Here is a 24,970-nt window from a genome sequence, read left to right as displayed (position 1 = left end):
GTGTTCACTGAATATTTTTTAAAAGAAAGGAGAGGTCAATCCCAGGAAAATGTATTTGAGATATTTACAGAGGAATTCTGCTCAGTTGGGGAATCCAAACTGCTTCCTGGCATGTGATGGAACATCACAGAATGGTACTCAGGGCAGTCATGATCCTAGGCCCCTGTGTCGCAGGAGAGCAAGAAGTGTGGCAAGGATTCCTGCACAGGGCTGTGGCAGATAATGTAGGAGTAGGAGACACAAGTCAAATCTTAAGATGTGAGCTAAGATATGAAGCACTGATTCAAGGACATATGATTCCCAAGAGAAAAACAGGAGCAAAGAGGGTTGAAATTGGAGCCTATGGCACAAGCTGGCTCCTCTTAATTAAAGTTGTCTAAGCAAGTTTCAGCCCACAGTGATGTAGTTTGGCCAAAAGGAGGTTAGTGGCTTCCATATAAACCTTGACACTGATTGGGTTTGAGATGTATTGGGATCCACCAAAGAGATTCAAAATCTACCTTTATGAATGAATATCTTGGAATTCTTAGGAGACAGATGTTTTGCACTGCAAGTTGTTACTTTTTTTTAATAGCTAGGTAAATTTCTGTCTCATAAGGCAAAATATTTTCTTCACATATGTCTATTAGCTGCACCAAAGGGATAACAATTATTCTTGGTTATGATAGAACATACATCATGCATCCTATTTAGTAATTTTAAAAGAAACGTGGTAAATTTTCTTCATAATTTTAAAATCACTTTTCCATTTTAAGAAAAACCTCTGAAATTCTAGCAGAACTGTTTGTTGTGCGTATGCCAAGTTAAAAAGGAAATCTGGAAAGATCACTCATAACCACTGCATGCTGAAATTGAAGAACATTCCAAGTTCTTGTTGATTGTATACTACCTTGTGCTTAAAGGAGAGAGGAAAGTCCATGACAGAGATGGCATTCGAAGTAGCCTTTAAATATGGAAATGGTTCCAGATCAAAGATTTATTCCAAATGAAGTCCTAGGAGTGATATTGTTTGGAGTTTATTTGGAACAGAGAGGAAATAGGCATTTGTGACTTGAGTTTGTGAAAGGTTGCAGCCATAATTTCAAGAGCCTAGTATTCTGAGATATCTATATTTTAGGTACTTTGTAGGTTAACTGGTTTTATTTAGCAGTAGGATTATATCATTGGGCTTTACTTATAAAATATTGATCTGGAAGCTGTTTGTTAAATTAATTTGAGCAGAAGGACATGGGAAATGAGAAGTAGGAGTGGAAACATAAATTTAGATGCTATTAAGGTAGTTTATATCTTCAAGTCCTGCCATGATCTGACCTTTCTTTGCTTTTCCAACCTTTATCACTCACTACTTATTCTTTACATTCCAGTTAACTTGACCGTTCTTACACTCTTGGGCTCTTCAAATTCACCTCATTTACTTAACAAGATTCCTTGTAACTGGAATCCAATCTGCCTTCCTAGGTATCTTAACATTCTAAACAGTCTAGTCATACTTCAGGGATTTCAAGTGGTTGATATCTCTGTCACCTGCTCCACCCTCTACCCCTGAACCTCTGCTTTCTGGAAACATGTGCTTCTTACATGTTTTCACTTTCTAAAACTCTAATTTCTAATCCATAATAATAATGTTATCTGCCTCAGAATTCTGCTAAAGTAGATAATGAATGAAAAGATTTTTAATCATTCTTGTTTTGAATTGTTGCATCTTAACTTGGCAATATTAATTTAACATTTTGCCTTGCTGACAGTAATTTGTATATATAAATCAGTGATTTATCTAGATCATAATTTAATTAACATTGGAAATTGTATGTTTATTTTTGTTTCTACTGCAGAGTTTCATTTGGTGCCTTACACATTATATATTTAATTCATGTGTTGAATTTGAATTAAATGACATTTTGTAATTTTTAACAGCACATCTATCTCAAATTATTATTTTGATAATGTTCTTAAATGTTCTACAATGCTATTAAATTATGATTTTTAGGGGATTCTTGGCAACACACTGATACCAGACACAAGTTGTTTGAGGACCTATATGCCATGCCTCCTCATCTTTGCATTCTCCTATTAAATTCCTAGTAGATTTTCTTCCATGTGGTAGAAACCAAATAAACATTTTCTGAATCAAAACGTGAATATAAAGAAGTGACTCTTGTATCCTTTACAATTACCAGAGATACCAAAAAACTACACTTTGAATTGTTCATGTATGTAACTGCAAAGTGTTTGTTTTGTTTTGCAACTTAGCAATGTCCTTAGAAACTGAAAAGTGCATTGTATTTTCAGAATATGGAGTGTGTTCTCATGTTGCTGCACATATCACGTTTACATCTAGAAAGAACTCATTCACCCTCTTTAAAAATATATTTGTAGCCTCTGCAATGTTCCCAGCTCTGTGAGGAGTGCAGAAGTTTAGCTATAGAACCAAATAGAAAGATCTATTTGCTCTCCGAGATAACTCTTTGAAGGCTACTCAGCTACCTGACCACCTTCTTTTTCTCTGTAACCTGGAGGTTTACTTCAGAGAGGACATTGAAGAAACTGGAAGAGAACAAAGAAATCAGTTGTGTAGAGGACCTCTAAGACCTTACCCTAAGAGTAATTTGCCTTAACATATATGCCCAGACTCAACAAGTATGCATGTTGCCTGTAAAAAAATTTGAATTCAAGATGAAAAAAAAATTATCTTATTTTAAAATTTTAATCCATGTTGAATTTACTATTTAATATAACTCTTCTTAGAGCCAGTTCTAGACATAGTTTTAAAGTGGGCGAAATCCATCTTTGGTAGTTCCACCTCCTTCTCTGGATACTCTGTCTTTATACACATTTTTTTTTTTTTAAGTTCCAGGGTACATGTGCAGGATGTGCAGATTTGTTACATAGGTAACGTGTGCCACGGTGGTTTGCTGCACCTGTCAAACCATCACCTAAATATTAAGCCCAGCATGCATTAGCTATTTTTTGCTGTTGCTCTCCTTCCCCCGACCGCCCACTCCCTATAGGTCCCAGTGTGTGTTGTTCCCCTCATTATGTTCATGTGTTCCTATTGTTCAGCTCCCACTTGTAAGTGAGAACATGCACTGTTTGGTTTTCTGCCCCTGCATTAGTTTGCTGAGGATAATGGTTTCCAGCTCCATCCATGTCCCTGCAAAGGACATGATCTTATTCCTTTTTAAGGCTGCATAGTATTCCATGTTGTATATGTACCACATTTTCTTTATCCAGTCTATCATTGATGGGCATTTGGGTTGATTCCATGTGTTTGCTATTGTGAATAGTGTTGCAGTGAGCATATGCAAGCATGTATCTTTATAACAGAATGATTTATATTCCTTTGGGTGTAAACCCAGCAATGAAATTGCTGGGGCAAATGGTGTTTTTGGCTCTAGGTCTTTAAGAAATCACCACACTGTCTTCCACAGTGGTTGAACTAATTTACATTCCCACCAGCAGTGTAAGTGTTCTTATTTCTCCACAGCCTCGCCAGCATCTGTTGTTTCCTGACGTTTTAATAATTGCCATTCTGCAACAAAAGCCAAAATTGACAAATGGGATCTAATTAAACTAAAGAGCTTCTGCACAGCAAAAGAAACTACCATCAGAGTGAACAGGCAACCTACAAAATGGGAGAAAATTTTCGCAACCTACTCATCTGACAAAGGGCTAATATCTAGAATCTACAATGAACTCAAATTTACAAAAAACAAAACAAAACAAACAAAAAAACAACCCCATCAAAAAGTGGGCAAGGGATATGAACAGACACTTCTCAAAAGAAGACATTTATGCAGCCAAAAGACACATGAAAAAATGCTCATCATCACTGGCCATCAGAGAAATGCAAATCAAAACCACAATGAGATAACATCTCACACCAGTTAGAATGGCAATCATTAAAAAGTCAGGAAACAACGGGTGCTGGAGAGGATGTGGAGAAACAGGAACACTTTTACACTGTTGGTGGGACTGTAAACTAGTTCAACCCTTGTGGAAGTCAGTGTGGCAATTCCTCGGGGCTCTAGAACTAGAAATACCATTTGACCCAGCCATCCCATTACTGGGTATATACCCAAAGGACTATAAATCATGCTGCTATAAAGACACATGCACACGTATGTTTATTGTGGCACTATTCACAATAGCAAAGACTTGGAACCAAGCCAAATGTCCAACAATGATAGACTGGATTAAGAAAATGTGGCACATATACACATGGAATACTATGCAGCCATAAAAAATGATGAGTTCATGTCCTTTGTAGGGACATGGATGAAATTGGAAATCATCATTCTCAGTAAACTATCGCAAGGACAAAAAACCAAACACCGCATATTCTCACTCATAGATGGGAATTGAACAATGAGAACACATGGACACAGGCAGGGGAACATCACACTCTGGGCTCTGTTGTGGGGTGGGGGAGGGGGGAGGGACAGCATTAGGAGATATACCTAATGCTAAATGATGAGTTAATGGGTGCAGCACACCAGCATGGCACATGTATACATATGCAACTAACCTGCACATTGTGCACATGTACCCTAAAACTTAAAGTATAATAATAATTTAAAAATAATAAAAAATAATTGCCATTCTGACTGGCATGAGATGGTATCTCATTGTGGGGTTTTGATATGCATTTCTCTAATGATCAGTGATGTTGAGCTTTTCTCGTATGGTTCTTGGCCACATAAATGTCTTCTTTTGAGGAATGTTTGTTCACCTACTTTGCCCCATTTTTAATGGGGTAGTTTTTTTTTCTTGTAAATTTGTTTAAATTCTTTGTATATTCTGGATAGGTCTGTAATCTACCTTTGTAGATTCTGGATATTACACCATTACAGATGGACAGATTGCAAAAATTTTCTCACATTCTGTAGGTTGCCTGTACACTGTGATGATAGTTTCTTTTGCTGTGCAGAAGCTCTTTATTTTACTTAGATTCTATTTGTCAATTTTTGCTTTTGTTGCAATTGTTTTTGATGTTTTCATCATGAAATCTTTGCCCATGCCTATGTCCTAAATGGTATTGCCTAGATTTTCTTCTAGGGTTTTTATGGTTTGGGGTTTTACACTTAAGTCTTTAATCCATCTTGAGTTAATTTTTGTATAAAGTGTAAGGAAGGGGTCCAGTTTCAATTTTCTGCATATGGCCTAGCCAGTTCTCCCAGCACCATTTATTACATAGGGAATCTTTTTCCCATTGCTTGTTTTTGTCAGGTTTTTTGAAGATCAGATGGTTGTAGATGTGTGGTCTTATTTCTGAGTTATCTATTCTGTTCCATTGGTCTATGTGTCTGTTTTTGTACCAGCACCATGCCGTTTTGGTTACTGTATCCTCATAGTATAGTTTGAAGTTGAGTAGCATGATGCTTCCAGGTTTATTCTTTTTACTTAGGATTATTCTGGGTATACCAGCTCTTTTTTGGTTCCATATGAATTTTAAAGTAGTTTTTTTCTAATTCTCTGAAGAATGTAAACAGTAATTTAATGGGAATAGCATTGAATCTGCAAATTACTTTCATCAGTATGGCCATTTTCATATTGATTCTTCCTATCCATGAGCATAGAATGTTTTTCTATTTGTTTTTGTCCTCTCCAATTTCCTTGAGCAGTGGTTTGTAGTTCTCCTTGAAGAGGTCCTTCCCTTCCCTTATTAGCTGTATTCCTAGATATTTTATTCCCTTTTTAGCAATTGTGAATGGGAGTTCATTCATGATTTGGCTCTCTGCTTCTCTGCTGTTGGTGTATAGGAATGCCTGTGATTTTTGCACATTGATTTTGTATCCAGAGACTTTGCTTAAGTTACTTATCAGCTTAAGTAGCTTTTAGGCTGAGACGATGGGGTTTTCTAGATATAGGATCATGTCATTGCAAACACAGACAATTTGACCTCCTCTGTTTCTATACGAATACACTTTATTTCTTTCTCTTGCCTGATTGCCCTGGCCAGAACTTCCAATACTATGTTGAATAGGAGTGGTGAGAAAGGGCATCCTTTTCTTGTGGCCGTTTTCAAGGAGAATGCTTCCAGCTTTTGCCAATTCAGTATGATATTGACTGTGGGTTTGTCATAAATGGCTCTTATTATTTTGAGTTATGCTCCATCAATACCTACTTTATTATCCATATTTTCTACTCATCTGGAGCTTTCCTGTGGCTTTGATCCAGCAGGATCTAATTCTTCCTAAGGGTTCGTGTTCTTACGTGTCACTACAGGATTATTAGCATGATTTGAACAATTATTCGTGGTCAGAAGTGGTGGAAAAAGTATAACCTAAATAATGTGTGAGCACTGAGAATCTCTGGCCCTTGCATAGAGCAGATATTGAAGGAAATGAATCTTCCCAGTACCACTGAAATTACAACCAGAATATATTCATAATCAGTGAATATTACTTATTGAGTGAACACAGTTATTTATTAATAAATAATGGCCTATACTTTTCTATGTTGGTTAACTTTCTTTGAAAATAGTTTTGTGTGTTTTTTGAATTTTACAAGATTGCAGGCTCTTAGCTGCAGTAATGTTCTTGTGTTCTCAGACTCGGTACAATACAACTAAAAGCAAGGATGTGAACATATGAACAGATGTTAAAGACACATTAATATTTTATTTGAAATAACCAAATGTTTATTGTATTCTCAGAGGTGATTTTTTTAATGTTTTGCTTCATTATTATTCTGCTTTTATGAGTTCCAAAATAAAAATAGTTTGGTAATTGAGCTATAATAAAGTAGCTTCACCTTTATGATTAATGACAGTGCCCTTCCAATTATTTTTAGATTAAGGAAAGCCTACGATGAATCTGATTCTGATTTGACAGGGATGCATGCTGCCTTTTAAAATATTTTTAATAACTAATTTTGTGGTTAGATTATTTTAGTGTAGTACAAAAAGTAGAACTAAATTTTTTTTAAACTTAGTTCACTATTTTTCATTCTAGCTGTTAAAAATTTGTCTTCTTTACATAGCAACATTCTCTAGTCAAATCAAAATGTTTAATGAAAAACTATTTTTCTGTCTTGATGGCTTATAGTGGAGAAGATTATATTGTCTTCATTTTATGAATATGAATTATAAACAAAATCTATAATTTTTCATATTCTTTTTCTGGTTTTTAGTATTTAAATCCCATATAGTATCCTGCTCAATGACACATAAACCATAAAAACTCAACAAATATCACTTATCAGTGATGAGTCTGTTTTTCAAGGCAAATTTTCTTGTTTATAATAGTGAATTTTACTGTCTTCTCCACTCTGCCATGCTTCTACATTAATGCTTTTACTCATACTGCACCATTTGAGTTACACTATGCATCGGGCACTGTACAATACATGAACAATACAGTGATAAAGATGCCAAAAAAGGCCCTGCCTGCATGGAGCCTGACATCCTAGTGGGCAGCAAATGAGGGGCAAGTAACAATAGTATGATCATTTTAGAATATGCTAAAATGGAAATGAACAGGCTGATTTGATAGCAAATACTGTTTAACATTCAACCTTCACTTCTGCATATATTTATACATTTATTTGTTGAATAGCTATTATGTACACCAGAAATTACACATTCAAGTGCCTATATATGAAGTGTGGGAAGCAGCTACCTAATGGAAGTTGTACATGTGTTTTTCAAGTGGTCTTCATTTCATATTTTACTGCTAAATCAGATTCTCCCTTGGAATACATCTGACCCACTTCTGGTTACACAACATGCAAATGTCTTTTTTAAGAGGGTAGCAGATACATCCTTTTTCTTTTGAATGGCAGCCTGTTCCGTGGACATACATATACACAAAATGCATTCATCTACTCATTTACTCATACATTCAATGACCTTTTAAGTGATAACTTTATTTCAGAATGCATGTACAAAGGGGAGAGCCAGAATGGTAAGACTCAGATACTACTCTTTACTAACTTATAAGCCTCATGACATGAACCCTTTCCTTATTTTTCTGTATAGTCAGCCAGAAATAGGTTCCTCCTCTTTAGAACACCCAAAGGGTTTTCTGTCTTGTGTACATTTCTATGTCTTGTCCTTCTTATTTAGCTCCTTTTTATATATCTTGACATTCCTCATGGCAACAAAAACTGTGACTTACTCACAGAAGTTGCTCAATAAATGTTTACTATATGAATGAGGAAAAGATCAAACTAAGTCAGAGCTGTTGCCCATATTATCACAGTGCTTTTTGTAGGTTACAGAATCATATTTTGCATTTATTTACATTGCAAATTATCATGAGGATATAACAGACAGCACCTTCTCTGATTATTTGGTTTTCTTTGACATTTAATTTCCTGACTAGCTATCTTTAGTTAATTACTTCAGTGTTGAAAGAATGTTTAAAATACATTTTAAAGTTTTATGCAGACTTTCAGGAGAGTAATTTGAAATCCAGACATTGCTAATTCCCATTTTAGGGAAAGTTTGAGAATCATAGTATATACTTTAGGCTAAATCGGAAAGCAGAGGAATAATTGACCAATCCATCAAATTAAGAAAATAGATTAATTTCTAATTCAGATTTGCACTGGAAAAGTGGTTTAGTTTGCTCTTACTTCTTGGGTCAATTCATATTCCAGTGTAGTAAAAGATGAATCCCAAGGTTTAGAATACACGATTTTAAATTATTAATTAAGAATTTTTTTGTTGATACCTAGTAGACATACATATTTTCAGACTACATGTGACAGTTTAATATAATTTCACATGTACCCTGAAAATATGTACATCTAATAGGTATCAATAAAATACACTCATATAATCCAATCAAGGTAAATGGGATATTCATCTTAAATATTCATCTTTTCTTCATAATAGGAACATTCAAATTATTCTCTTCTAGCTATTTGGAAATGTACAATCAATTAATATTAACCATAGTCACCTTACTGATCTTACTTGTGGTCACCAATCTACTTCAATCTCAAAGACATGATATTTTTTAGCTCCCATATATGAGTGGAAACATGCAAAATTTATCTTTCTGTGCTTGACCTCTTTTACTTAATATAAAGACCTCCAGTTCCATCCATGTTGCTGGAAATGACAGGAGTTAATTCTTTTTTATTGATGAATAATATCCCTTGTGTGTACATATGTACCACTTTTTTTGTCTATTAATGAACACTTAGGGTGATTTCATATTTTGATTATTACAAATATTGCTTCAGTAAACATGGGAGTGCAGATGTATCTTCAATATATTGAGTATACACCCAGCAGTGGAATTTGCTGTATTACATGGTAGCTCTATTTTTAGTTGTTTTGGAAACCTCCATACTGTTTTCCATAGTGGCTATACTAATTTATATTTCCACCAGCAGTGTATGAGGTTCCCTTTCTCCACATCCTTGCCAGCATCCGTTATTTACTGTCTTTTTGATACAAGTCATTTTAGTTGGGATGTATCTTAATTTCGTGTCCTGCAACTTTACTAAATTTCTTCATCAATTCTAACAGTTTTTTGATAGTCTTCAGGCATTTCTAAATATGAGACCATGTTGTCTGCATACAAGGTGAACTTGACTTCTTTTTTGCCAATTTGGATCGCTTTTCTTTCTTTCTCTTGCCTAATTGCTCTGGCCAGGACTTCCACTATTATGTTAAATAAACATAATTCTATAAAAATGCTAAAAACAGGAATTCTTGTGCTGTTTCAGATCTTAGAGGAAAGGCTTTTAATTTTTCCCTGTTCAGTATGATGTTGACTATGGGTTTATCATATGTATCGCTTTTATTATTTTAAAGTATGTTCCTTCACACCCAGTTTGGTGAAGGTTTGTCATATGTTGAATTTTATCGGAAGCTTTTTCGGCATCTATTAAAATTGTCATATGGGTTTTTTTCTTGCTTCTGTTAATGTGATGTAATTTATTGTGATAATTGTTCTGTTAATATAATAAGTAATTTATTGATTTACTTATTTTGAGCCATCCTTGCATCCCTAGGATGAAATCCCACTTGATCATAGTGAAAACCTTTTTAATGAGGAGTTGAATTGAGTTTGCCAGGATTTGTTGATAATTTTTGCATCCCTGTTCATCACTGATATTGGCCTATAGTTTTCCTTTTTTGTTGTGTCTCTGTCTGGTTTTGGTATCAGAGCAACACTGGCCTGGTAGCATGAGCTTTAATATATTCCCTTTTCTTCAATTTTTTTTGAAGATTTTTAGTAGAATTGGTAATGGTTTTTCTTTAAATGTTTGATAAAATTCACCAGTGAAGCCATGAGGGTTTTTCTTAGATCAGAGACATTTTATTACAGTTTCAATCTCGTTACCTATAGGTTTGTTGACATTTTCTGTTTCTTCATGGTTCTATTTTGGCAGGCTGTACGCATCTACCAATTTATCCATTTCTTATAGGTTTTCTAATTTGTTGGCATAAAGTTGTCTGTAATAGTCTCGAAATATTCTTTGTATTTCTGTGGTCTCAGTTGTTATGTCTCCTTTTTTGTTTCTGATTTTATTTATTTAGGTCTTCTCTGTTTTCTTTTTAGTTAGTCTAGCTCAAAAGTCTGTCAATTCTGTTTCTCTCTTCAAAATACCAACTTTTCACTTAAGTGAACTTCTGTATTGTTTTGTTAGCTCAATTTTACTTATTTACAATCTGATATTTATTATTTCTTTTCTCCTATTAAGGTTGAGTTTAATTTGTTCTTGCTTTTCTATTTCTTGAGGTAAATCAGTAGATTGCTTATTTGAAGTTTTTCTACTTTTTTGACATAAGCATTTATTGCTATAAACTTTCCTCTTCATGCTGCTTTTGCTGTATTCCATAGACTTGGGTATGTTATATATCAGTTTTCATTTGTTTGGAGAAAATTTAAATGTTTCTTCTTAATTTCTTCTTTGACCCACTGGTCATTCAGGAGCATGTTGTCTAATTTCCATGTGTTTGTGCAGTTTCCAAGGTTCCCCTTGCAATTGATTTCTAGTTTTGTTCCATATTGGTCAGAAAAGATATTTGATACGATTTCTACTGTATTGGATTTGTTGAGACTTGTTTTGTTGTCTAAGAAATGGCCTATTCTGGAAAATGTTCCATTTGCTGTTGAAAATAATATGTATTCTGGGTTAAACATTCTGTATATGTCAGTTAGGGCTATTAGTCTAATGTCTAGTTTAACTTTTATTTTTTTGTTGTTGATTTTCTATCTGGATAATTTGTCTATTACTGAGAGTGGGGTGTTGAAGTTCGCTACTATGATTACATTACAGTCCATCACTGCCTTTGGATCTACTAATATTTGCTTTATATACATGGGAGCTCTGGTGTTCAGTGCATAGATATTTATAGTTGTTGTAGTGTCTCGCTAAATTGACCACTTTATCATTACACGGTGACATTTTTTGTCAGTTTTTACTGTCTTTGATTTGTAGTCTATTTTTATCTGATATAAGTATAGAAAGTATAGCTACTCCTGGTCTTTTTAAGTTTCTAGTGCATGGAATATCTTTTTCCACTCCTTTGCTTTCAGTTTATGTGGGTCATTATAGTTGAAGTCTTGGTTTCTTATAAGCAGCATGGAAGTATACAGTTCCAGTCATAGTTTGTGTATTTGTTATGAATTCTCACCATTCTTTACCGATTGGGATTGTTTCATTGCACCTGTGTTTACATTTTGGTTTATTTTGATTCAGGTATTAAAATTACATTTTAATGTCTCCTGGATCAAGCGTTTCTTGTGTTTCCACTTGATTCTAATGGTTTTTATTATTTTTTATATCTATTATTTATTTGGTCTTGCAATTATTACTTTTTTCTTGCAAATACCCTGAGCCCCTTGACATGAGGTCCTGCCTGCACGTAAGGCTTGCTTGCTCAGAGGAGAAACATACTTAACCTCTCCGGACTCCAAAATAATTTGAAATGTATTTTTAATCATAACTGGTAAAAATAGTTTCTTGAAGACATTTATTGTTATAGAAATACTAGTAACATAAAATGAGGCATGGAGTATGGGAGATTACATCTTCTTTGTTAAGGGTGGCGTTACTCTATTGTAAGCAGGTGGAAAACATAGCTGCTCCTTTCATAGCTCAAATAACCTCCTTCTTCTGTACCCTTTATGTTTTGGTTATCTCATTAATTCCTTCTCCTTCTTCTTTTCACTTAATCTTGGATCACAGTAGGTCCAAGAGGAGAGTAAAGTTGTTAATGAAGAAGAATATTCTATTCTTGTTTTTCTTCTTGCTTAAAATGTAGAATGTGAGCCAAAGTAAAGGAGGCTGAGCCAAGGGTAGCCTTTTATGTACATTTATTTATACTTTTTTTTTTCTATTTTTTTTTAAATTATACTTTATGTTTTAGGGTACATGTGCACATTGTGTAGGTTAGTTACATATGTATACATGTGCCATGCTGGTGCGCTGCACCCACTAACTCGTCATCTAGCATTAGGTATATCTCCCAATGCTATCCCTCCCCTTTCCCCCCACCCCACCACAGTCCCCAGAGTGTCATATTCCCCTTCCTGTGTCCATGTGATCTCATTGTTCAATTCCCACCTATGAGTGAGAATATGCGGTGTTTGGTTTTTTGTTCTTGCGATAGTTTACTGAGAATGATGATTTCCAATTTCATCCATGTCCCTACAAAGGACATGAACTCATCATTTTTTATGGCTGCATAGTATTCCATGGTGTATATGTGCCACATTTTCTTAATCCAGTCTATCATTGTTGGACATTTGGGTTGGTTCCAAGTCTTTGCTATTGTGAATAGTGCCACAATAAACATACGTGTGCATGTGTCTTTATAGCAGCATGATTTATAGTCCTTTGGGTATATACCCAGTAATGGGATGGCCGGGTCAAATGGTATTTATACTTCAAAATTTTAGAATTAAGTTATAAAAAAAATGTTCACTTTCAAACTGGGTGCTATAATAATTTACTAAGAGCAAAAACTACCAATTATTGAATGCTTATTGTGATGGTTAATATGGGGTGTCAGTTTGATTGGATTGAAGGATACAAAATATTAATCCTGAGTGTGTCTGTGAGGGTGTTGCCAAAGGAGATTAATATTTGAGTCGTCCAACCCACCCTTAATCTGGTGGGCACAATCTAATCAGCTGGCAGCAAATATAAAGCAGGCAGAAAAACGTGAAAAGGTGAGACTGGCCTAGCCTCCAAGCCTACATTGTTCTCCCATGATGCATGCTTCCTGTGCTCCAACATCAGACTCCAAGTCCTTCAGTTTTGGGACTCTGACTGGCTCTCCTTGCTCCTCAGCTTGCAGACAGCCTATTGTGGGACCTTGTGATAGTGTAAGTTAATACTTACTAAACTCCCATTTCTATTAGTTCTGTCCCTCTAGAGAACCTTGACTAATACAGATTTGGGTACCAGGGATGGTTCTAGAGGAATAGAATATTAAGGATGGAGTTCTTTCACTGGTTTTGGGGTTTCTGGAGTTGGCTGCTTAATATGATTAGACCCAAAAATGCTAAGGACTCTACTTCTAATAGCATAGAGAACACTGATAGCCCTTGACATGAACTGTTTAGAGAGTTATGCAAAATAAATGCATTTGACACCCTGATTCACTCACTGCTTGTGAGAGGCAAGGAGCTTAGTGACTCTATACATAATACCTTTGACCATATGTGGAGAACCAAGGAACATAATGAAGCTGGTTGATTGTTCCTAAGTTCCGTTGAAAAACTGATGAAAGAAAATGATGAACTAAGAGATTCTGTCCCATGGCTTCAGAAGCAGATACTGAGCCTCAAATCTGCTAAGATTGCCCTGAGCGAAACAGAAAGAGCTGAAATTGTGGAAAAACAGACACAAGCTCTTATCATGTGAGTGGCTGACCTGCCAAAAAAGGTGCCTGCACAGCCTCACCAGGTGTCTACTGTTAAAGTGAGGGCATTGATTGGAAAAGAACAGGACCCTGCAACTTGGAATGGGGATGTGTGGGAGGACCCTGATAAACCTGGGGACACTGAGTTTGTAAACTCTGATGAACCTTTGTTGCCAGAAGGGACAACTTCCCCATCCCCAGTAGTGGCAACATCCCTCCTGCCCCAACCCATGCTTCCATCAGCCTTTCCACCTTTGTCTGAGGAGATAAACCCTGTGCTGCCTGAGGCAACAGTGATGGCCTCCCCTGAGGCAGTTGCCAGGAAAGATAATGATTCTCCTCAGGAGCCACCCCAACACCCCTGTTTGTTTCTAGGCCTATAACTAGACTAAAGTCCCAGTGGGCCCCTAGAGGTGAGGTTGAGAGTGTAACCCATGAGGAGATGCTCTACACTCAAAAAGAACTTTTTGAGTTCTTTAATTTATATAAACAGCAATCTGGAGAACAGGCATGGGAATGCATATTAAGGGTATTGGATAATGATGGAAGAAACATAGAGTTGGATCAGGCTAAATTTCTTGATTTGGGCCCACTAAGTAGGGACTCTGCTTTTAATGTTGCAGCTCGATGAGTCAAAAAATGTTCTAATAGTTGATTTGCTTGGTTAGCTAAATATGTATTTAAAGATGGCCCACTGTGAGCAAGCTGGAAATGCCTGATCTCCCCTGGTTTAATGTACAGGAAGGGATCCAAAGGCTTAGGGAGATTGGGATGGTGGAGTAGATTTGTCACTTCAAACCTACTCATCCCAACTGGGAGGGTCCAGAAGACATACCCTTGACCAATGCCTTGCAAAACAGATTTGTGAGGGAAGCACCTGCATCTTTGAAGAGCCCTGTAATTGCTCTTCTCTGTATGTCAGATCTAACAGTGGGAACCACAGTGACTCAACTATAAAATGTAAATACAATGGGAATAATTGGATCCTGAGGTGGCAGGGGCCAAGTGGTGGCACTCAACCATCAAAGGCAAGGTGGGTGTAGCTCCCATAATGGACAGCAGAGACAAAGCAGCAATCAGAATGGCCTGACTCATGTAGACCTCTAGCATTGGCTAATTAATCACAGTGTTCCTAGAAGTGAAATTGATAGGAAGCCTACTGCATTCCTACTTAATTTATATAGTGAGAAAACTTCTAGGTAGAATGGACAAAAGACTATTTTGAATTATAAAAACAGAGAATCACAGCTCCTCAATCAATTTCCAGACTTTATCCAGTTTACAGACCCCAAACCCCTTGAATGAAGGGGAAGCCAGTTCCTCTTGAGGAAGGACCCCACTATATTACCGACATTTTATGCAATGAATCTTTCTCCCATCCTTCCCCAAGAAGACCTCTGGCCTTTTACAAGTGTAACTGAGCATTGGGGAAAGGGAAATAATCAGACATTTCTGAGACTACTGGACACTGGCTCTGAGCTGACATTAATTCCAGGGAACCCAAACATCATTGTGGTCCTCCAGTTAAAGTAGGGGCTTATGAATGTCAAGTAATTAATGGGATTTTAGCTCAGGTCTGACTTACAGAGGGTCCAATGTGTCCCCAGACTCATTCTGTGGTCATTTCCCCAGCGCCAGAATGCATAATTGTCATAGACATACTTAGCAGCTGGCAGAACCCACACATTGGCTTCCTGACTGGTAGGGTAAGGGCTATTATGGTGGGAAAGGCCAAATGGGAGCCATTAGAGCTGCCTCTACCTAGAAAAATAGTGAGTCAAAAATAATATTGTATCCCTGGATGGATTGCAGAGATTAGTGTCACCATCAAGGACTTGAAAGACGCAGGGGTGGTGATTCCCACCACATCCCCATTCAACTCTTCCATTTGGCCTGTGCAGAAGACAGATGGATCTTGGAGAATGACAATGGATTCTCCTAAGCATAACCAAGTAGTGACTCCAATTGTAGCTGCTGTACCAGATGTGGTTTCATTGCTTGACAAAATTAATACATCTCCTGGTACCTGGTATGCAGCCACTGACTTGGCAAATGCATTTTTCTCCATTCCTGTCCATAAGGACCCCAGAAGCAATTTGCCTTCAGCTGGCAAGGCCAGCAATTTACCTTTACTGTCCTATGTCAGGGGTAAATCAACTCTCCGGCTTTGTGTGATAATCTTATTCAGAGAGAACTTGATCACTTCTTGCTTCTGCAAGATATCACACTGGTCCATTACATTGAAGACATTATGCTGATTGGATCCAGTGAACAAGAGGTAGCAAACACACTAAACTTATTGGTGAGACAGTTGTGTGTCAGATGATGGGAAATAAATCCAACTAAAATTCAGGGACCTTCTACCTCAGTAAAATTTCTATGGGTCCAGTGGTGTGGGCTCCAGTGGAGTGGGGTCTGTTACGATATTCCTTCTAAGGTGAAGGATAAGTTGCTGCATTTGGCCCCTCCTACAACCAAGAAAGAGGCACAATGCCTAGTGGGCCTATTTGGATTTTTGAGGCGACACATTCCTCATTTGGGTGTGTTACTCTGACCCTTTTATTGAGTGACCCGAAAGGCTGCCAGTTTGAGTGGGGTCCAGAACAAAAGAACGCTCTGCAACAGCTCCAGGCTGCTGTGCAAGCTGCTCTGCCACTTGGACAATATGACCCAGCAGATTCAATGGAGTTTGAGGTGGCAGTGGCAGATAGGGATGCTGTTTGGAGCCTTTGGCAGGCTCCCATAAGTGAATCACAGCAGAGGCCTCTAGGATTTTGGAGCAGGACCCTGCCGTCTTCTGCAGATAACAACTCTCCTTTTGAGGGACAGCTCTTGGCCTGTTACTGGGCTTTGGTGGAAACTGAACGTCTGACTATGGGTCATCAAGTCACCAGATGACCTGAACTGCCTATCATGAACTGGATGCTTTCTGACCCATCTACCCATAAAGTGGGTTGTGCACAGCAGCATTCCATCATCAAATGTAAGTGGTATGTACATGATCTAGCTCTAGTAGGTCCTGAAGGCACAAGTAAGTTATATGAGGAAGTGGCTCAAATACCCATGGTCCCCACTCCTGCCACCCTGCCTTCCTCCTACCTCCCCCAGCATGCACCAATGGCCTTATGGGGAGTTCTCTATGATCAGTTGATAAAAGAAGAGAAGACTAGGGCCTGATTCATAGATGGTTCTGCACAACATGCAGACACCACCCAAAAGTGGACAGTTGCAGCACTTCAGCCCCTTTCTAGGACATCCCCGAAGGAAAGAGGTGAAGGGAAATCTTCCAGTGGGCAGAAATTTGAGGAGTGCACCTGGTTGTGCATTTTGCATGGAAGGAGAAATGGCTGGATGTGCAATTATATACTGATTCATGGGCTGTAGCCAAAGGTTTGGCTGGATGGTCAGGGACTTCGAAGAAGCACGATTAGAAAATTGGTGACAAAGAAATTTGGGGAATAGGTATGTGGATGGACTTCTTTGAGTGGTCAAAAACTGTGAAGATATTTGTATCCCATGTGAGTGCTCACCAATAGGTGACCTCAGCAGAGGAGGATTTTAATAATCAAGGGATAGGATGGCCCATTCTGTAGACACGACTCAGCCTCTTTCCCCAGCCATCCCTGTCATTGCCCAATGGGTCCATGAACAAAGTGGCCATGGTGGCAGGGATGGAGGTTATGCATGCGCTCCACAACATGGACTTCCACTCACCAAGGCTGACCTGGCTACAGCCACTACTGAGTGCCCAATTTCCCAGCAGCAGAGACCAACACTGAGCCCTCAATATGGTGATCAGCCAGCTACCTGGTGGCAGGTTGATTATATTGGACTTCTTGCATCATGTAAAGGGCAGTGGTTTGTCCTCACTGGAATAGACATTTACTCCAGATATGGGTTTGCCTATCCTGCACACAATGCTTCTGCCAAGACTACCATCTGTGGACTCATGGGATGCTTCATCCACCATCATGGTATTCCACACAGCATTGCCTCTGACCAAGGCACTCACTTTACAGCTAAAGCAGTGTGGCAGTGGGCTTCATGCTCGTGAAATTCACTGGTTTTACCCTGTTCCCTATCATCCTGAAACAGTTGGATTGATAGAATGGTGGAGTGGCCTTTTGAAATCACAATTACAACGCTAACTAGGTGACAATACTTTGCAGGGCTGGGGCAAAGTTCTCCAGAAGGTCATGTATGCTCTGAATCAGTGTCCAATATATGGTACTGTTTCTCCCATAGTCAGGATTCACGGGTCCAGGAAATCAAGGGGTGGGAGTGGAATAGGTACCATTCGCCATCACCCCTAGTGATCCACTAGCAAAATTTTTGCTCCCTGTTCCTGCGACATTACCTTCTGCTGGCCTAGAGATCTTACTTCTAGAGGGAGGAATGCTGCCACCAGGAGACTTAAAGATTCCATTAAACTGGAAGCTAAGATTGCCACCTGGACACTTTGGGTTCCTCCTACCTTTAAGTCAACAGGCTAAGAAGGGAGTTAGTGTTGGCTGGGGTGATTGACCCGGAATATCAAGGTGAAATCAGTCTACTACTCCATAACGGAGGTATGCATGGATACAGGAGCTCCATTAGGGTGTCTCTTAGTATTACCATGCCCTGTGATTAAGGTCAATGGGAAACTACAACAGCCCAATCCCGGCAGGACTACAAATGTTCCAGACCCTTCAGGAATGAAGGTTTGGGTCAGTCCACCAGGAAAAAAAACCACAACCTGCTGAGGTGCTTGCAGAGGGCAAAGGTAATACAGAATGTGTAGTAGAAGAAGGTAGTCATCAATACCAGCTACGACCATGTGACCAGCTGCAGAAACGAGGACTGTAACTGTCATGAGTATTTCCTCCCTCTTTTGTTAAGAACATGTTTGTGCATGTATAACACTTATGCTAAGAAAATATCTTCATTTTCTTTTCCTTTATCATATGCCATAAGATTTATTGACTTTCTATCAGCTTTTAAGTATTGTTGAAACTTTATGTAATAGTATTTGAGTGGGGATTAGTGCACTTCTGGTTGTATGAAGGAAGTTGTATTATGTTAGGTGTAATTATGACCTTATTATTGTCTTTATTTGAAAATTATATATCATCTCAGGAGATGTGTATGGGTTCAAGTTGACAAGGGGTGGACTTGTGATGGTTAATACCAAGTGTCAACTTGATTGGATTGAAGGATACAAAGTATTGATCCTGGGTGTGTCTGTGAGGGTGTTGCCTAAGGAGATTAACATTTGAGTCAGTGGGCTGGGAAAGACCGACCCACCCTTAATCTGGTGGGCACCATCTAATCACCTGCCACCGAATATAAAGCAGGCAGAAAAACATGAGAAGGAGAGACTGGCCTAGCCTCCCAGACTACATCTTTTTCCCATGCTGGCTGCTTCCTGCCCTCGAACGTTGGACTCCAAGTTCTTCAGTTTTGGGACTCTGACTGGCTGTCCTTGCTCTTCAGCTCGCAGACAGCCTATTGTGGGACCTTGTGATTGTGTAAGTTAATACTTAATAAACTCCCCTTTATATATATATATATATATATATATATATATATATATATATATATTTATATATATTTATATATATTTATATATATTTATATATATTTATATATATATATGTAGATTCTATAGATAGTAGATTCTATTTATTATTATACTATCTATGAGAAAACTAAAGCACAGAGAAGACAAATTCACTTGATAATTAGCTCCAGAACTAAATTTGAACCTATGCAGTCTTATGCTAGAGAAATGTGATCCAATAGAACTTTTATAGGAATTTTATTTTTATGGAAATTTTATTTTATAGGATAATTTTATTTTTGTAGGAATGTTCTACATCTTCACTATCCAATACAGTACCCACTAGTCACATATGGCTATTGAACATCTGAAATATGGCTAATATAACTAAGAAACTGAATTTTCATTTTATTTAGTTAAATCACTTCTCCCTTACTTTTAAACATGGACAATGGCAGTGCAAATAGGATGTTGGAAAGGATGCTGGAAATGTATACACCATTGAAAATATTTGTTTACTAAGAAAATTTAAAAAGAAACTAAAGAACAAAATCTTTCCTGTTTACTATTTTATTGAGCAATAGAGAAAATCTAACGCTAATTAGAGAAACTTGTTTACAACTTTCAGTGTGAAATAAAAGTTTTTTCCTCTTTCTTAATTTTTGTCTCATATTTTCTTTTGAAGAATAAGTAGAATTCAGTTTACTCTGATCTACATAGGCTGAAATCTAAGAGCTATTTTCCTCAAAATTTTGCTTCTATATTATTTTTTATTCTCTGAAAGTTCAAGAAATATTAAAGGCATTCAAGAATAATGTATTTCTAAGACACTTTAAAGGCATCTTTTATTATTCCAAGAAATAGTTTGTATTAGTCTTCTGTAGAGAAAGAGAACAGCAGGATGTATATAAACAGAAAGAAAGAAATTTATTTTAAGGAATTGGCTCATGCAGCCATGGAGACTAGCAAGCCCAAAATATACAGGATAGGCCTGCAGGCTGGAGACCCAGAGGAGAAAGACCCCAATGCAGCAGTGCAAGTCCTAAGGCAACCTGCCGGCAGAATTCCATCTTCAGGAGACATCAGTCTTTTTTCATTAAGGCCTTCCACTAATTCAGAGAGGCCCATCCATATTATGGAGGGTAATCTGTTTTACTCAAAGTCAACCGACTTAAATGATAATCTCATGTTTAAAAATACTTCCACAGAAACATCTAGAATACTATCTGGTTACCATATCCTAGCCAAGTTGACATATAAAATTAAACTTTACATAGGTCATTTAACATTTTTGTATGTAGTACAACAAATTGCACTGTTCCATGGAGTACACTGGAAAGAATCTGACTTATACTAAGAAAATTGCTTTCATATAACCAAGCAAAACTGGCATGTTTAACAAATCACCAGATAGAGCATTCTAAATTGTTACACTGTTTCATATTACTGTAAATCTTTTTGATGCTATCTAATTACTATCAAATAGTACTTTCTTGTTTTCTGTAATGTATAAGTAAAAGCATGAAGACAGCTGTAAATATTGTCATTTTCCAGGTAGTGAAAATATAACAGTGATTGGTCAGAGTTGAATCTACCATTACTTCCATCAACTGCAGAACATGTCTAATATATTTGGGGGAAATATATTGCATAGCAATAGAGCTGATGGGATGATATCATGTTACACATTTCATAATTAAACATGGAACAATAGTTAATCATGAAAGAATAATTAGAATATTTGTTAGTAATCCTGTTTACATATCAAATATGAAAATTAAGTGTTAAATTACATTTCTTTGTTGATTACAAACTCTTAGTAATTGAAACTTTTTAAAATTGAATAACAATATTTGATTTGGGCTGGTTTGTAATTTCACACCACGAATTTCAGCACAGTACTTTTCTAACATAATATCTTTGACTAAGGCATAAGATTTTACTTAATCAGAAGATGTCCCTTGGGAAGAGAATTAGAGACAGAGATATTTCCTTGATTTTTAAAATGTTCTTTCTTGTAGTAGACATTACTTCACCTTCCTCACAAACTATGATGTTGATACTGCTGTCTTTCACATTTGTATGGGGAAGTTGGATCACAAGGTAAAGAAACAACTGCCCTGTCCATGTTGTCCAAGCATGATGGCTGTTATTTGATTTCTTCTTAGAACTATTTGAGAATTCCTTACAAATAGACTAAACTATTTGCCCATTTATTTAGACTCACTGTCCACCTGAAGTTTTCACCAAGGTATTCCATTCTTGGTTGTTGTGCCCAGGTTGCCTGCATGTGACTATTGTGAAAGATGAAATTTTATGTCATATTTGGCCGAGAAACTGCTAGGCATAGTCTTTATTTCAGCAGTTTGCAAAAAAGAAAGCTGGCCTCAAAGTGCAGTAGCATTCTGACTAAGAAGAGAAGCTAGGCTATGTTACAAGTTGAATTAACACAAGGCTAGTGAGATTATTCCTAAAGTTAATATTCACTAAGCTGGTGGCTTCATTTACAGCCTGGGTGAACAAATTTCACCATAACAAGCCACTGAATCTAACTGGCTTTGTGAGATCTAGAGCCCAGAGCCTTGGTTAAAGGTTACATTCCTTATGCTTTTAAATAAATTTTGTAGTTTCAGGTGAATAACTTTGAGAGCCTTTGCCCCTTCTCAGTCAACGTTAAAACAGAAAAGCTATCATCCAAGATAATAAGAAAAAGAGCTTATATAAGCAAAAAGAATCTTAACTAAGGAATCTTAACTAAGTCTTGTACTAACACACATCCCACCCCAAAGTCTTAACAGATCTGTTCTTTGTAATCTTCCTTCTCTTACTGAAATGAGTAATACTCAGCACAGTTTATGGAAGTTGCAAAGCACATATGTCAGCAAGATTCTTTTCTCTCAAGGCTTGTAATCAATTTTTTATGGGCCATACTTTTATTTAAGTTTGAAGCTTATAATTTTTAGCTATTTATTTCGGTTTCACAGTTATGATTATTTAAAGTGTGTGTGTGTGTGTGTGTGTGTGTGTGTGTGTGTATTTCAGGGAATTATAAACAATATACTGCACTCTCTCTTTGTTGGATGAATCTAAATCAACTCCATGCAGCACCTATACAGTCCAGCTATCTCATGTCATGTAGCAAGCCCAGCTTTAATGTTCCAGTCTGTTATTATTAGCGCCATTGCTCTTTATTTAATGTATTCTAATGCTTGTCAGTGGTTCAGATTAAATTGTTCGAGAATATGAATGTGACATTTCTGGTTTCCTGGGCCTCATTGATACTTAAAACTTCTAAAACTTCATTTTTACTCTAAAATAGGATGATGTATATAAAATGCTTGCCAAACTGACTTTCTCATAGTTGACACTCAAAGTAGACAATGCTCAGAACTCTTGTCCCCTCATGGACTTTAATAATAACTACGTGCCACACTTCTGTCAGCCTCCAAAGAGACATGCAGCCTTCTGAATTCTTTAAGATTTGTCTTTTTAAACAAAGGTTTCATTTTAGGAGAATTTAGTCTATATTTCAGCTTTTAGTGGCTAAAAAAAGTCATTGACTTAGAGAATGTTAGAACTGAAACCCCCTTGAAGCTCCCTAATTTCAGACTCCTCATTTAATAGAAGAAATTTTGTTAGTGTTTTGAAGAGTTTTCTTAATATTGACTGGTATGTTTCTTTAGGGTATCACCAATAGTTATTTGGACTTGTTTCTGCAAACATATTATTGTCCACAGTGTATAGGGATGTTGCAAAGTGATCTGGATGATTTTTACTTTTACCGTTGTGTTTTATGAATGTGTGGTTTAAGTCTGCTCATCTGTACCTATTACCTACTGCTGCTTTTCTATAGAATATTTTATATTTGAACACTCATGCAAACATGAATACTCTGTGGAAACGTTTTTATCCTCACCAAAATCATCTTGTGTAAGAGTTAGAGAACAATTACAATCTTTGGCAAAACAGTGTTTTTAATTTTTTTAACTCTCAGAAACTATAACTGTCAGCTCTAAGGTCCTACTCCAACAAATACATGAGGGAATATTAATCTGTCCCCTATTTTATTAAAATGTGAAGGGATAGACAGCATGGTATACAATACACAAGAAGGAAGTGCTTTATTTCTATAGAAGCAGCTTGTTTCTAGCTCCTGCAAAAAAAAAAATCTTTAATAAAAATTGACCATACTCACTTTACAAGCAGGGTTCCTGCTAGGTACAAAACTGCTTCAACACCCAACATTTCTTAGCCTTTTTCAGGCTGCCCTCCTGCATTTACGCATCTTTCAGGTTCCTCTCCTTGTCATGCTGAGTCATGAGCCTCTTCTTTCTCCACAAGATTCACAGTGCTTTTCTAAGGCATTACTAATTTTTCTAAAAACATGGGGTTATGTTGCAGAGCAACAAGCTTCTGCCATCTCTCTGGCTCCCCACCTCACACACTGCCCCTTCCCAAAGCCCACACCATCACACATGTCCCTTCTACCTCATATGGATACAGAAATCTAGGTTTAGAAAGGATAAGCGAAGGAGCCAAATGATGGAACATGACCTGAAAGCCATGTGGTCTGACTACATTCGGGGCTCCTTTGGTTACTTTCACAATATCAACAATAACAGTTAGTTGAGCACGTTATAATTTATATAGATATTTCATTTACATTAACACATGTAATCTTTTAAAACAACCCTGTGAGGTAAGTATTATTGAGCCACTTTACAGAAGCAGATGTGAATACATAGAGAAGTGACTTACCTAAGTCTGTGGTGTAACCTTGCTGTCACCTTGGTTCGGCCTTTTCTTTGAGATTTCACTATATAAGACTGGTTTCGATTTCTAGGAGTCCAGTAGTCTTTCAGGGATTTCAGTTTATTATTAGGATTTCACAGCCTCGTGGTCACTTCTTTCTGCAACTGAGCCCTTGGTCTCAGCTGAATCTCTTCTTCTAGTCTAGGACTACACATCTCTCAGCTTCAGTGCAATCTAGATAGGAAAAAATGGTATTTTTATATTTATTTATTTTTAACTTTTTGTAAAAACCAAAGCCAAATACTCTAGAAGTTGAAGAGAGCAGTATGGAAAAATTTCACCACTGACATGAATTATGCCAGGATCAGCCCAATATTTTGGCATTAAAGGTAATTTAAAGAAAAAATGTTCTGGGCATGGCGACATGCGCGCTTAGTATCAGCTACTCAGGAGGCTGAGGTGAGAGGATCACTTAAGCCTGGGAGGTTGGGGCTGCATTGAACTGTGATAACGCCACTGCACTCCAGCCTGGGTGACAGAATGAGACCCTGTCTCAAAATAATAATAATAATAATTTTTTCATCTTACTACAGCATTAGCAATGGATTCAGTATTGGAATTTAAAATCCAAATCTCATATTCTTTTTACTACAAAACACTGTATCATAAAATCATTTGTTATTTCGGTTTTATAATGTGAGATTTTTGAAATTTAAAGAAAGAATGTTTGGCATAAATTGGCATTGATTAATATATCTATTCAGAAAATTTTAACCATAAAATAATTTAAAGAAATTTTAGATGTTAGCAGTTCTCAAACTGTTTGGCATCAGGATCCGTTTGTA

General features: G+C 37.1%; 1 protein-coding gene across 8 annotated transcripts in view, besides 1 other annotated feature; it reads left to right on the top strand.

Annotated features, from left to right (window-relative positions):
• ARSJ (arylsulfatase family member J) overlaps positions 1-24,970 on the top strand; it is a 79,364-nt gene that overhangs the window by 36,157 nt on the left and 18,237 nt on the right. The gene's annotated exons all lie outside the window — the stretch shown is intronic.
• Positions 23,760-24,959: an enhancer, noted in NCBI's record as "BRD4-independent group 4 enhancer chr4:114839688-114840887 (GRCh37/hg19 assembly coordinates)". NCBI's record gives its function as "activates an origin of replication core promoter dependent on BRD2, P300/CBP, MED14 and CDK7 cofactors, and independent of BRD4, by STARR-seq in HCT116 cells {active_cell/tissue: HCT116}" and the evidence as "EXISTENCE:reporter gene assay evidence [ECO:0000049][PMID:35650434]".

The sequence above is a fragment of the Homo sapiens genome, chromosome 4 (assembly GCF_000001405.40).
Source record: "Homo sapiens chromosome 4, GRCh38.p14 Primary Assembly".
In the NCBI taxonomy this organism is placed as follows: domain Eukaryota; kingdom Metazoa; phylum Chordata; class Mammalia; order Primates; family Hominidae; genus Homo; species Homo sapiens.
Note: the sequence above shows the minus strand (reverse complement) of the source record. Positions and strands in the feature narration are given on the sequence as shown.